This window comes from Homo sapiens, chromosome 13, assembly GCF_000001405.40.
Source record: "Homo sapiens chromosome 13, GRCh38.p14 Primary Assembly".
In the NCBI taxonomy this organism is placed as follows: domain Eukaryota; kingdom Metazoa; phylum Chordata; class Mammalia; order Primates; family Hominidae; genus Homo; species Homo sapiens.
In genome coordinates, this window is record NC_000013.11 from 92,169,753 (window position 1) to 92,184,460 (window position 14,708).

General features: G+C 35.7%; 1 protein-coding gene and 1 pseudogene across 2 annotated transcripts in view; one reads left to right on the forward strand and one right to left on the reverse strand.

Moving 5' to 3' along the window:
- The window catches only part of GPC5 (glypican 5), a 1,468,617-nt gene that overhangs the window by 771,132 nt on the left and 682,777 nt on the right, over positions 1-14,708 (forward strand). The gene's annotated exons all lie outside the window — the stretch shown is intronic.
- FABP5P4 (fatty acid binding protein 5 pseudogene 4) lies at positions 10,759-11,137 on the reverse strand (annotated as a pseudogene).

The following is a 14,708-nucleotide window of genomic DNA, read 5'->3' on the forward strand; positions in this document are numbered from 1 at the left end:
AGGCAAAAAATTATTTTATAATTTGAGACAGCATAGGTGTTCTTAGTGAGAAAATTAAAAAACCTGTCCTTACTAATACATTGAGTTTATTTATTTTATTTAGGCTGTGAACATTTGGAACTATGTTACTTGGTGTGTGTTGTTCAGCATTTTAGAAAGTTTCCTTACAAACTTGGTTGAAGATATTTTCTTAATTTAAAATATTATTTTTATATATCTATCACATTCTTATAATCAATAGCATAAAATATTACAATGGAATAAACAGGAGAAATTTTACAAATAAGATTTCCACTTATAAGAATATTTCTAGGAAAATGTTTGAAATATCAGTGGCATGCTAAATTTGCAATTTGATAAAACTAACATATTGAAAGAATATATTTGCTTCAAAATACATGGAGAACTTTAAAAAAAACCTTAAGATTTTCTTCAATGAGGGTTACTCTAGTTTCTATGTTTATATTTATAATTTTGTATAGAAAGTCTTTTGTTTTGAATTTCTGATGTCCTACACAATCCATGCATAAGATTCTTTAATTGATATTGCTGTATATTTTAAAATATTATCAAGGATTTATTTTCTGATGATGCTAATTACATTTTTTTCTAAGATAGGACTTCCTATACCCACAAAGCAAGTTTTTCTTTTTTTGTCTTTTCTTTGCTTTTTTTTTTTTTTTTTTTTTTTGAGACAGAGTCTCACTCTTTCACCCAGGCTGGAGTGTAGTGGTGTGATCTTGGCTCACTGGAACCTCCACCTCCCAGGTTCAGGTGATTCTCCTGCCTCAGCCTCCTGAGTGGCTGGGATTCTAGGCCACTCAGCCACGCCCAGCTAATTTTTGTATTTTTAGTAGAAACGGGGTTTCACCATGTTGGCCAGGCTGGTTTTGAACTCGTGACCTCAGGTGATCCGCCTGCCTCAACCTCCCAAAGTGCTGGGATTACAGGCGTAAGCCACCATGCCCAGCTAAAGCAAGATTTTCTATTATAGACTATTTAACTACCAACTTTCCCAAAACTTCGCATGTTCACAGTTTCTACTAGAAACTGTTGTTTTTTAAATTCAGAGTCAGCAACATTTGCTGAAGAATTGTTTTTCTCCATTTTCCTTGGAAGTAGAATGAGAAAAAATGGAATACACATGGAGTAGGAGACACAATAGTAGAGTTGTCAAAGTATAAAATTTATGAAATATTTTAAGATTATGGGACTTAATATTAAGTCCCCCAGTCAGTTATCCTTCATGTACTGTGTAGAAGCTGCTACACACCTACTCTATTCTTCTTAAATATTTTATCAAGACACTTCTCTCTAACTACCTTACTATCATATGGAAATTTCCTCAACTTTGTTCCACAAGATATTCATATCTGCCTCCATTCCTGCTCACCCCCTTCCTCTTTTCCTTTTGCTGGGTAATAGCAGTGCCCTACCTCCTGTCAAGGACCACTTTTTTGTTCTATGTACCAGACCCAGTTGCATCCTCAGAGACTTTGCTTTATAAATTGTCCATTTTTGCCTCTGTATCTTCAAACTCTTCCTGCAATAAATTATGCCCTTTTAGAAAACATGTTGATTATCTCAGTCTTCTCTTTTTGAAAAGTCAATAAATATACTACACACACACACCCCTATATTCACCTTCCTAAATGTATAATCTCCTCCACTGACTTTTACTACTTTATCCTATCACAGCCACACACTTCCTGAAATAGTTGTATACATTCTGAAATTACTGTTCTTGATATTCTTTTGCTCCTCAATCCATTTCCCCTTCTCAACTAAAAATGGTGTTGCCAGAGTCAGCCTGTAGTCACACCTCAATTTTGTATTAGTTGTTCATTTTCCACAATTGACAATGTCAATCTTCAGTTTCTTGAATTATGTTTTTCCTTGACCCATCCCTTTCATTTAGTTATTCATTGGGAATCCTATTAGGTCCTTTCACTTCTCACTCTGTATTTTTCCTGAGTGATAGAAGAATCCTGTTTAATGCATAGGTAATTGAGACCTGTATGTCTCTAACCCAAATGTTTCTTCTGAAACTCACACACATATATTCATTTGCCACATCCATAACTGAGCTCTTCATGCCTGCTACCCTCATCCTGAAACCTGCTTCCTATCTTAATGACTGTTACCATCATTCAGTCAATTTCCCAAGAGAGCTTCCTTGTACTACCAACTTGGGATTTCCATTCACACATGCTCCCAAAGCCTACCATTGCCGTAGAACCCATTAACCAGATTTTAAATGCCAGTTCGCTTGTTTGTACCTACAATAGATTGTTAGTTCTGTGTATTTCTAGTTAAAATGTAGTATTGCCAGCTCTAAGAAGCATAATAGTATTTAAAACATTCCTAAATGAATAAAAGAATGAACAGATGGGTAGATGGATCAATGGATGGTTGAATGGGTGGATGGATGAGAAGGAGAGTACTTGTGTGTTTATAAAATTGAGAGTGTATTTGGAAGAACAGAATTTCCAGTTTGGAGTAGTGGGGTCAAGTTGGGTTGTGCAGTTGACCCTAAGGTACATGAAAAAGATGATCCTAAATGAGATCATAGAAATCACAGCCATTTAAGGATCATTATGGTATGAGTGCCAAAATGAAATGTTTTAAAGGATTGGTAAAACCACGGGATGACTCAAAGTATTAAAAATAGCAAATGAAACATAACCTTTTATATTGACTCTTAGATGAAACTTTAAATTCAGTTTTGAGGGATCTGAGAAGAAGAATCAATTTTGAAAGAGTTCTAGAGAGTAAAATAAAGTGGTAAAAAAGAAGGGAGGATATCTCAGTGTATTGGAAAATTTTCAAGTGCTCATAGTCACAATACATTTTATGTCTCCCCTGTTCATCTACTGCTTCTTTCATTTAACTTATGTGTCACCTTGAAAATATTTTCAGAGAAAGAGCCATTTATAAAAGGAGAGTTCTTCTCATTACTTAAAAGAGATACTCTCCTATATGTTGTTTGAAAAGGTTTACTCACTGCTACTTTATTTCCATTGAAACTGGAAATGTGCAACATGATATCTGAAACTATTTTTTCCAATTTCAGCAGTTTAATGCTGTTATTAAACAATCTAAAGCAATTAAGATCCATTCCTGTCCTTTTTATTTAAAAAGAAAGCTCTTATAGTTCTAGGGTTTTTTTAATTAAAAAATTTAGGCAATTATTTTAATTTGACTATACCTGTTAACAATATAAGAAACGTTGCAACAGTCAAACGAGCAACTCTTAAGTCTTATTACATGTTATCTGTATCACCACCAAAGCTTTTTTTGGTTAAAGTAATTTTTGCTTATAGATTCAATCAATCTGTAAGACCAGTCCAAAGGGGAAATCCTTTGTTGTCTATATGCTGTGATCAATGAACTGAGTGTGAGTGCAACTAAACTCCCATTTGACTCAGTCATTAATGGATTTTTTTTTCAAAGTGGGATTACCCACATTAAAAACAGAGATCGGCCATTCTCACCTAGGTCATTAAATTTGTTTTCCTGGCCACCTTTCATTTAGCCTGATGCTTTTCCGCTTAGGTGTGTCGATTCTGGGTTTTTAGGAAATGAAGTCCTTCATGTTGACTGTGGTATGTGAAGACCCTGATATCTCTGCTGCTCTGACCCCATTAAACTTTCAGATTTTACTGCCATATTGCTTTTGTACATGTGCTTTTGTTTCATGTACCTCATGTGCCATGAGGACACTCAGTGGGGAGTCTGGCACCTGCCTGGACAAACCCTTTCCTTTTGTTCTTCCTCTTAATGAAATACTTTCTATCAAAATTACTTATTCAAATTTTGCTAATTTTTTAGGAGTTGGTTTAATAAAGTGTTCTTTAGTACCTCTAACAGAAAACCATTTCTTTCATTAAAATGCAATGAGCAAAAACCTAGTGTCACTTGTGTGCCACGTCTCACATTCTATAGTATATAATAATTATTTATATGAACACTCATCTCCCCTTACTAAGACCCTTGATGTAATCAATATACTTTTATTATTATGAGCCAACAAATATTTGCAGAATGTGGAAGGCAATATTAAGACATCTAGGCCAGGCTTGGTAGCACACACCTAATTCCCAGCACTTTGGGAAGCCGAGGAAGGTGGATCACTTGAGGTCAGGAGTTTGAGACAAGCCTGGCCAACGTGGTGAAACCCCATGTCTACTAAAAATACAAAAATTAGTTGGGTGTGGTGGCACCCACCTGTAGTCCCAGCTACTGAGGAAGTTGAGGTGGGAGGATCACTTGAGTCCAGGAGACAGAGGTTTCAGTGAGCCAAGGTGAAACCACTGCACTCTAGCCTGGGTGACTGAGTGAGAGACCCCGTCAAAAAGAAAGGAAAAGAAAAGACATCTTTGGATATTCTTAGGCTTGCTGATAAAAGTCATCTTTACGTCATTAAAAAAATATGTGTCTATGTATATTTATTTCATGTATATATTAAATAGAAAGGCCAAAATTTGGGCCGGGTGTGGTGGCTCACACCTGTGATTCCAGCGCTTTGGGAGGCCGAGACAGGTGGATCACGAGGTCAGGAAATTGAGACCATCCTGGCTAACACGGTGAAACCCTGTCTCTACTAAAAACACAAAAAAAAAAACAAAAAAAAATGGCCGGGTGTGGTGGCGGGCATCTGTATTCCCAGCTACTCGGGAGGCTGAGGCAGGAGAACCGCGTGAACCCGGGAGGCGGGGCTTGCAGTGCGCAGAGATCGCACCACTGCATTCCAGCCTAGGCGACAGAGCGAGATTCCAACTCAAAGAAAAAAAAAAAACAAAAACAACAACAACAACAAAAAAAACAAAATTTAAATAACTCATTACTTCATTCATACATTTATCCACCTATACACTTCTTTACTTAAAAACAGCAAAAAGTATTAATCACTTTATTGAGCACCTTGCTGGGCATCAGGAATAAAAAACAGATTAGTCAAAAATACGGTTCTATTCCTCAAGGTTAAAATAGTGTGCAGAAGAAAAAACAAATAGCGATGTCATAGAATTTAAAATGTTATCGTAAAGTGCAGAGTACCATTAAAATAACACACTGTGAGACTTCGAAAAGTCCTCCCTTGAACCTTCATTTTTGAGACAGAGTTTCGCTCTTATAGCCCAGGCTGGAGTGCAGTGGCCCCTTCTCAGCTCATCGCAACCTCTGCCTTCTGGGTTCAAGCGATTCTCCTGTCTCAGCCTCCCGAGTAGCTGGGGTTACAGGGATGCGCCACCACGTCCTGCTAAATTTTTTTGTAGTTTTAGTAGAGACGGGGTTTCTCCATGTTGGTCAGGCTGTTCTCAAACTCCCGACCTCAGGTGATCAACCCGCCTTGGCCACCCAAAGTGCTGGGATTACAGGCGTGAGCCACTGTGCCTGGCCGAACTTTGATTTTTTCATTAGAATTTCTGGAAACATTATTTTATTATATGTTGGCATATTAGTGAAACATATATTTATTAACCTGTTTTCAGATTTAATGGTGACCCTGTATGTTTGTTTCTGTTTATCGATATCTAGCTATAGTTATGTTTACATCTATACCATATTTTGTATCTATACATATATAAAAGCATCTAAATAGGGCTTGACACCTAATTGGAATTCAATAAGTGTTTGCTTCTTTTCTGATTCTAGATTATGTCAAAATTTAGTAGTGCGTTCTAATAAAGTTGAAGAACATTTGAATAGGAGGTTATGATGACATCACTGTGATGCCTACTGCTGTAGTCCAGCTATCTAAGAGCTGAATTGCTTTCAGTTTTATCTGCGGTTCTAAAGTTGGTGGGCGCCCCTTTGGAAACGTTTACTGAACTCTTGGTACAGAGGCCACTAGATGGGGCTTGTGGGCTTAGTACTTTATAGTTTAGAAAAGTCACTTAAAAAAACTCAGACTTCTCTTTAACCTATTCTGTTCTTTATTAACTGTAACACTGTGAGCAATTATAATTAGAAATCTTTTTATATTAGCAAGTGTGAAACCTAACTATTGCCCTTGCAAATATGTGATATTCCTCAAAGAAAAAAAAAACATCTCCCTACAGCCAGGCACATTTATCTCTTTAGAGGCTAAATACAAGACCCCGTTACCAATTTAATAGTAGTTTTCAAACCTGTCTCCTCATATAGAAGAATCTCAGATACAGAATCCTGGAAGCTCTGTTCCTACTTTTTAGGTTTCAGATTCAATGGTGACTCTGTATGTTTGTTTCCATTTATCTATATCTAGCCAGAAACATGCTTTACCATTATCATGAAGTTTGCTCCTTACCCATTGCTAGTGTTTGTTTTCCTCTAAGACAGTGGTTCTCAAATTTTAATGTGCATCAGAATCACCATATATCGTGAAGGACTTTAGAAAATACAAATTACTGTCCACAACCCCAGAATTTCTAATTCAGTAAGTCTAGGATGGAGCCGGTGACTCTGAATTACCAAAAAATGCTCAGATGATGATGGCACTGCTTATCCAGAGACTACACCTTAAGGAGTTCTGTTGTATGCTAAGGCTCTCCCTGGATAAAGTACATACCTTTCATGAGGTAGCCCTTGTGTCTCAAGACAGCTTCCTGTCACACTGCAACATTCATCTCTCCAGGCACTGAGACTGGGACAAGGACGAGAAGTAAGTGGTGGTTTGTGTTTTCTTTGCATTTATGCTCCTAACCACTGGGTACACAGCACACTAAGTTAGATAAGGTTCAACCTCAACAACAGACCAGGGGCACCTGTCTGCATCTTCTAACAACCAATAGCTAATGCTCATTTGAAAAAAAATAAATGAAGGGTTTGACCCAAGGCATCAAAGCTTTGGATTCTGATTTTCCTTTGTCTCAATGGCTTTTAGATTTCTAAGACCTCCCTTTCCGTTTCTCTCCATCTGACCTCCAACCTTCCCCAGATTCCTAATCCCACCATTTTTGAACCTCCCTCCAGAGTGCCTGGAGCTAGGCCCAGTGGTTCCTCACCTCAACGGCCACATCCAAGCACTTCTCAGCCCCTAGTTTACTGATTTCCAGCACACTACCAGGCACCACTTTACCTTTACTGGAGACCTAGGTATACACTGCTTCTTTACATACTGTATCTACAGCTGGATAATTCAATTCTCCATCTATTTATCCCTTCATCAGTCATTAACTACCAATGATATAACAGGCACTGCTTCACCCTGCCACTATGCTATAGTTGTAAACAAGCCAGACATGACCTCCCATCTTTTGCTATTTCCGTCATTGTTTTGACTGATCTATCTTTTTGGATTTTGGATACCCTTATTTCCATCATTGTTTTGATTGATCTGCCTTTTTGGATTTTGGATACCCGTTGTTGTCACCAGCTTGTTGTTTTGCATCTCAGTTAACTTCTTGGCTTACAGACCCCTGGCTTCTGAAAACCACAAGCTTTCTGGCTTTTACACGGCATCTCAACTTGTATCAGAACATGTTGTTTTCTAGCCCCTTAAGCCAGTCTAGCCTCTGGCAACCTGAGCATCTTCCCCTTGTCTGACTTTCATCATATCTGCTGGGCTTCTGCATCTTCACTGTTAATGTAATGACAATGCCTTAAATTATGTGGATTATATTTTCAAAGGTGTGTTAGCGTATCCCATCTCACTTTCCTTATTTCAAATGATTAACCTATCTTGATGGAAAGTTGATCTTTCCAATGATTTCAAATATGTACCTTCATATAATTTTTATATTTTTATAATTATACAAATTACTTACATCTCAACCTTATAAAGCTCTTTTTTGCTCTTTTATATTCTAATAACAGAATAGCCACTAGTATGTTTTTTGTGTTCTTCAGAATAACCTAGATCAGATATGCACAGTCTCTGATTAAAATGATTTCTTGCATCCCAGAAGCTTCTGTATTATGTCAGCAAAATTGTGTTTATTTCACAGGCTCTGTCTGATAAATATTTTTTGTGGTCTTCATGTGACAACACTGAATAACATGCCTAAACTCAGCCTCCTCTTTTAAACATTCCTACCTTGAGAAGACTAGTGACAGAATAGCATCCACAGTACTATTTAGTTTAAATTAATTACAACAAAGCTCAACGAAAATTGGCTTCGATATACCATTATTTTTCTATTTTCTTTCAGTTCAGGCATTATATATAATTAAAGATGCCCCAGTATTCTACTTGCAGAAGTCATTTGCTAATGAAGGGGAAGATTACTGGGAATAGCATAAAAAGTTCAAACCACCAATAAACATTTCTGGAAGCTTGGAGCTGAAAGACTGAAACTATTCTGGCACATGGAAGTTTTACCAAGCTCTTAACCTAATTATATTCCTGATACGAGTTAGGCTCAATTTATTCCGAAGGGATGCCGCAAAGGGAAGCTTATCATGAATACTAAGGGTAATAGAAACAATTGCTTCAGTGAGCCTAGTACTGTCACAGCAGGCGCATCAGAACAGATGGCTCTGCGTTTATTCCAGTCTAGGGATTCAAATTGGCAGTAGTCAAACAAAAATCCTGAAAAGCATGTCAGCAGATGTGGATATGAGTTTTCTTTATTTAAAGAGCCATTCATACCATTCCACTGAAAATGCATATAAAACTGGAGGTATTTGCCACTTTGGTTAATTTGCCTATTAGTGCCTTCAACTTGTGGCCCATCATTTTAATATATATATTTATATATAACATATATACATATATACCAGCAGTATAGTAATTTCTGATATATACTATTAACCTCAAGTTACTATATATATACTATTATTAAATTTTTGTATAGTGTTTGTATATTATATATTTATATGCCAGCTCCTTAAAATGTGTTAATATTATATATCAACAGTTGCTAATTCCTTACATTAATATATGCTATTTTGCATCTTTTGAGTCCAAACTGCTACCAGCATAGGAATTTTAACATTTTCTTTAAAAATAAACTAGTTTAGCCTGGGCACGGTGGCTCACACCTGTAATCCCAGCACTTTGGGAAGCCAAGGTGGGCAGATCACAAGGTCAGGAGATCAAGACCATCCTGGTTAACATGGTGAAACCCCGTCTCTACTAAAAATACAAAAAATTAGCCAGGTGTGGTGGCCCTGTAGTCCCAGCTACTCAGGAGGCTGAAGCAGGAGAATCGCTTGAACCCAGGAGGTGGAGGTTGCAGTGAGCCAAGATTGCACCTCTGTACTCCAGACTGGGTGACAGAGCGGGACCCTGTCTCAAAAAATAAATGAATAAATAAATAAACTAGTTTATTGTATTTTTAATAAAGTATCCTAACGTAGACTATTAGGATTCTTCATGACACCTGAAATGTATTGTCATCAAATGACTACACTTGTTCATTAGCATCTTTTTCTCCTTGCACAATGAGTAATTAATAGTTTCTTTGGGAGTTAAGTAAAAACGAACTGACATTTTTGGGCCAAGAATCCTAAATTAGCTCTGGGGTAAAACAAAAACTCTTACATACTCCTCACCACCTAAAAAAATTTTCAATTAAAAGGAAAAAAATAAAGGATAATATCCTGGTTTATAATCTTGTCAAACTGGAACTATTTCCAGATGAGCATGGCCCTCTTTTTCTTTTACAGATGACACAGCTAAGTGCAGATGCCTAAAAGGAAGGGTTTCTGATGACTTTGTTTTCTCAAGATATTTACATAGTCTGAGCTTACTCATGAATTGTGTTACCATGTTAGGTTCAACAGCTAGGCTCTGACTGAACTAATTTGTCGTGGTCTCTCTGTCCACAAGAGTTTGTCAAAGTAACAACTCACTATGCTATTGAACTAATAACTTGGTCACAGTGTATCTTTTAACACCTAGAATTCTCTCATCAATGAGTAGGCATAGCACTTGCTCATAATCTTCGTAGGCTACTTCTAGCTAAATGATAGATTACTTATACTATAATGTTATATTGCCGAATCTAACATACAAGAAAAATATTCAGGGCCTAGTGGCTTTTTTCAGTTTCATTATATGCTTTTAAAACTTTGATGATTTATATGATCATAGAACTTTCTGTTCTGGCACATGGGAAGATTGAATTTTTTAAAGCAAAGTATTTGTACAGATTAAACAGATAACATTTGACATCATAAAAGGATAATGAAAACGTATAGGTGAATTAACTGAACTTTAGATGGGGAAAGATATCAGCCTAAATTTAAACAAAATTTTATGAATATGATTTACTACGGTTTTTACTGTGGACAAACAATGTAGACTATGGACTTCGGTTTGAGTCACAAGACAGGCACAATGGATTCCACTAATCTCTCAGTTGTGGTGGAATAAACTACTATAACAAATATGCTCAAATGTTTATTTTTTAGCATTCAAGGCAGGTCTTCTTAATTGGCAGTTTTTCTCCATGTGGTGGTCCAGGATACCCAGCTTATGCATGAAAACTGCAGGTTTGGTTGAAAAGTCCCCACAGTTAACCTGATTTATACCACAGGGCTAAATTCCTTTTGTTTAAGGCTGCAGTTTAAATTAGCTTTTTAATTTCATTTCCAATTGTTGGGTTTCTGCACAAGAAATTCCATAATCTTTAAAGCTGCATTTTAACAAATGGGAAAATAATATCCAATAAAACAAAAGAAAATTGGAAATAAGATATCACAACAACAATTTAAGCTGGATTTTCTCTTTGTGAATGTGTATGTATTTGTGGAAATAAAGAGCAGAAGTAAATTCTCCAAATGTCAACAGTGGTCACCTTTAAGTATTATGGTTATGGGTGATTTTTTTTATTAGTACAAACACATTTATTCATTAACCAAAGGGATGATCCTAATTAATCCAACACTTTGAAATAGCTGCATGTAAAATGTTTGTGATAAAGATCACTGAACACAGTAATGAAAAGAAAAAAAGCAGCCGTATGGAGATTTTCTCATTCAACTGAGCTTGTTCATTCTCCTAGCTAATTCCTATCCAAAGTGATGATGGAATTTTTATTCTACTTTTTCATAGCTACAAGTACAGCTGACACTGTTCATGACACCGTTCACCACTAATTTCCCATCTTTCAATTTTCTTGTTAATTTTCTTTCCTTCCCATCCCAATCCTGATGCTGAACCTCTGCACCAGCTGTAAAATGGTTACAGGTGATTTTCATTGTCCTATCACTACTTTCTAATTGTCTACAGTGAGTAGATAGTGCTTTTAAATGAGAAAAAGGTGCGTGTAAAATACACCTTCAGCTACTAAAATTGTATATGAATTGTCTTATTAAACTTATCACCTTTCTACACACCAGTTGCCAAAACAAACAAACAAACAAACAAAAATCAATTAATCCCCACTTGCCAAGCCTGCCTGGTTGTGAGCTACTACTCTTTCCTGATAGTCCACAATAGCTATAGCCAGCCTGGTTGTGGGCTACTTCTCTTTCCTGATAGTCCACAATAGCTAGTCTTTAAAGTTTTCTTCAATAAGTCCTGACTAGAAGGAGAAAAAAAAATTAAAACTACTCACATGATATCATGGAGATGAGCTCAGACAAGAAGATCCACAACATATAATTTCTTGCTACTAAATTAAAGTAAACCCAAACAAGGTACTATCACTTTTAATTTATTCTCAGAATGTAGTTTGTGTTTGGGGAAAATCTGACTAATGAATGAATAAAATCAAGCAAACAAAAAATAAATAAAATTTCCCTCTTGGTATGCTAGATAATTAATGCTTTGAATACATGAATCATTGCTATATATCATGCTAAGTGCTATGTAATGTTTTAAAAATCTTCAGATAGTACAATTTTGCTGGGGTGATATTGTTAAGTTTTAATATTTTAAATGTGCACATGTGGATTGTGTAAATGATAATGTGTATTATTAGGATTTAAAGTTAGAAGATTTTTTAAAGTAAAGCCCTAAAAGCAACTGAACAAAGAAAGCAAAACAGATACATAACCTACTAGAAATGAGAGCTCAGATTTCCTGACATCTCAGTTTGATGTTTGTGTATTGTATCCCATTGTTTCTCTAAAATGGGAAATCATGCAATGAAAATGCAGAAGAAAGCAAAATGGTGAAAAAGAGTTTGAGGTGGGCCTTATCCAGTCAATGGATTAAATTAAAATGGAAAGATGCTGTCCTACATTATGCAATTGTAATAAGAACTTGAACAGAAGATTTAAAGGATAGATAATAAGGAGGCTCAATGTTGAGTAGGTTTGCATTGGGAATCAAGTGGCAGAAAAAAAGATGTCAGGGTAAGTTTATGTTTGTTAAAGATGAGAGTATTGAGAGCTGGGTTGGGAAACTAGAACTTTTCCTTCAATAAAATAGCCATTCATTTAACATTTCAAATTTTTTCTGTTTATTTATTTATTTTTTTTGCCAGGGAATTAATAATCCAAAAGAACAGAGAAATTCAGAGCTAATGGTTTCGGATTATATTATTTGATTAATTTGGAAAGAGGTTTACCTCCCTGATTATTCCTCCCTTACAGCTATATTTTAACAATTCTATCCAAATTTTGAAGGCATTGAAAAATGTCACCCAGAAGCTAGCTGCCCACATCTGGCCAAACAGAAAAACTGACTTTATCAGTAAAAAACGATCTGTGACTTCAAAAACAATGTTCAAAATATAATCCACTTTTCAAACAAAGATCAAGTAACCCCACTTTTAAACTGATAACTCAATGTTTTGTTAATGTGAATTGAATTACAAAATTCAAAATGTTAATATTTCTTTATTAAGACATCTGATGGGTATAATGAGTCAATTTAAGTAGATACAAAATGTAAAATTGTTATGCCAAAGTTCTATTTAGTAATTTTTCAAAAATTTATTCATAAACCATATTTTGGTGAGTTTCAGTGTTAAGAAAATTCCGATCGCCATAAGTATGGGAGGCCGAGGTGGGCAGATCATGAGGTCAGGAGATCGAGACCATCCTGGCTAACACGGTGAAACACCGTCTCTACTACAAATACAAAAAAAAATTAGCCGGGCGCGGTGGTGGGCGCCTGCAGTCCCAGCTTCTAGGGAGGCTGAGGCGGGAGAATGGCGTGAACCCGGCAGGCAGAGCTTGCAGTGAGCCGAGATCGTGCCACTGCACTCCAGCCTGGGCAACAGAGCGAGACTCCGTCTCAAAAAAAGAAAAAAAAAAAAAAGTAAACATTTTAACACCTACCCTTGATACATCAAGGACGTTGAAACAAAGGTGGCAGAAGAAACTATAGTCTCAGTTTACTGGGTATTCCAGAAGAGGTTCATAACGTGGCTCTAATGTGTTAATGTTTGTTTTATGATATATACTAGTATGTACTTTGTTTTTATTCCAGTTTTAATAGAGGTAAAGTTGGTTTATTGAACAGGGTGGAACTGGTAGTGTAAGCAGATAGCAACCTTATTCTTTCCCACCATTCCCCATTACATGTTTTCCCACATAGCCTTTCAAGACATATTTAGATAATAAACAGTATTTTATTTTTGCATTAAAATTCTAGTTCAGTATAATAACCAAGAATGCCTGGCCAGTGTGGTAATAAGCTCTTACGAAGTATAAGCTTTTTCCTCTGTCAACATGAGCTTGACCCAACCATGGAAGGCTGAGGTTGGGATAGGTGGGTGAGGTCAGCTGCTTTTTTTCTTTTTTTTATGTAGATACATATGGTAGCAGCACCATTTATTAATCCACTATTTTCTTTCATACTTACAGTGTTGCATTTATTATATATCCAGTCCTGCATAAGTGTGTCATTCATTAACCATTTAACCATGTACCAATTCAATCCTGATTTAATTACTAAAATGTTTTAAAATAACAATTAAAATATAGTTAGCAATTTTGAGTCACTTATATATAAATTTTAAGATTAAAAACCCTTGGAAAAACTGCTAGAATTTTTATTTTGGTTGCAATAAATGTATAGATTAGTTAAGGAATCATACCATATTTATAATAGTAATTCTGTCAAATGTAAATATGGTATATTTCTCAACTTAGGTCTAATTTTGTGGTTTTTAAATCAAGTTTTATGATGCTTTTTATGAATTTTAGGTGCATATTTTGGTGAGATTTGTTCATAGATCTCTTACAACTTTAGTCAATAAGATTGTCATCTTTTTAAATAACATGATGCATTCTGGGTAATCTCTTAATAAATATCATTTAGTTTACCAATTTTCTCTTTGATCTTATCTAATAGGGTATTTTAATCCAACCACTGATACTATTAATTTAAATTATATCATATTTTTAAAAAAGTTATTGAAGTGTCATCTTAATTATTATAATTTTATATTGTCTGCTAGATTACCATATAATTATCTCAAATTCATATGGCTCTAATCCTGCCCTTTATTTTATGTGCTGTCTTTTGCTTATGGTGTATTATTTATACTGCAAATTCATCTTTGGTTTGGCTTTTTCTTTTTTCTTTTGAGGAGGCTTCCAGTATGAGATACCATATAATGATCATGTTAGCTTGTTCTAAAACTCCATAAGAAATCTCTCATTAATTATATATACACAGAGTATAAATTTGAATATCAAACTGCTCTAGTTGAAGACCTAACCTCCTTCAAAATCTATTTTAAAAATCTTCTCCAGAGTCAGGAGAGCACACAAAAAAATTTATTTCTATTACTAGAGTTCTTTAGAACTTTAGCCATTGGATATATCTTTGAATAGGCAGCTCTCTGAGGGTCTCAGCTTTAGGGAGTAGCCCCCTCTCCCTT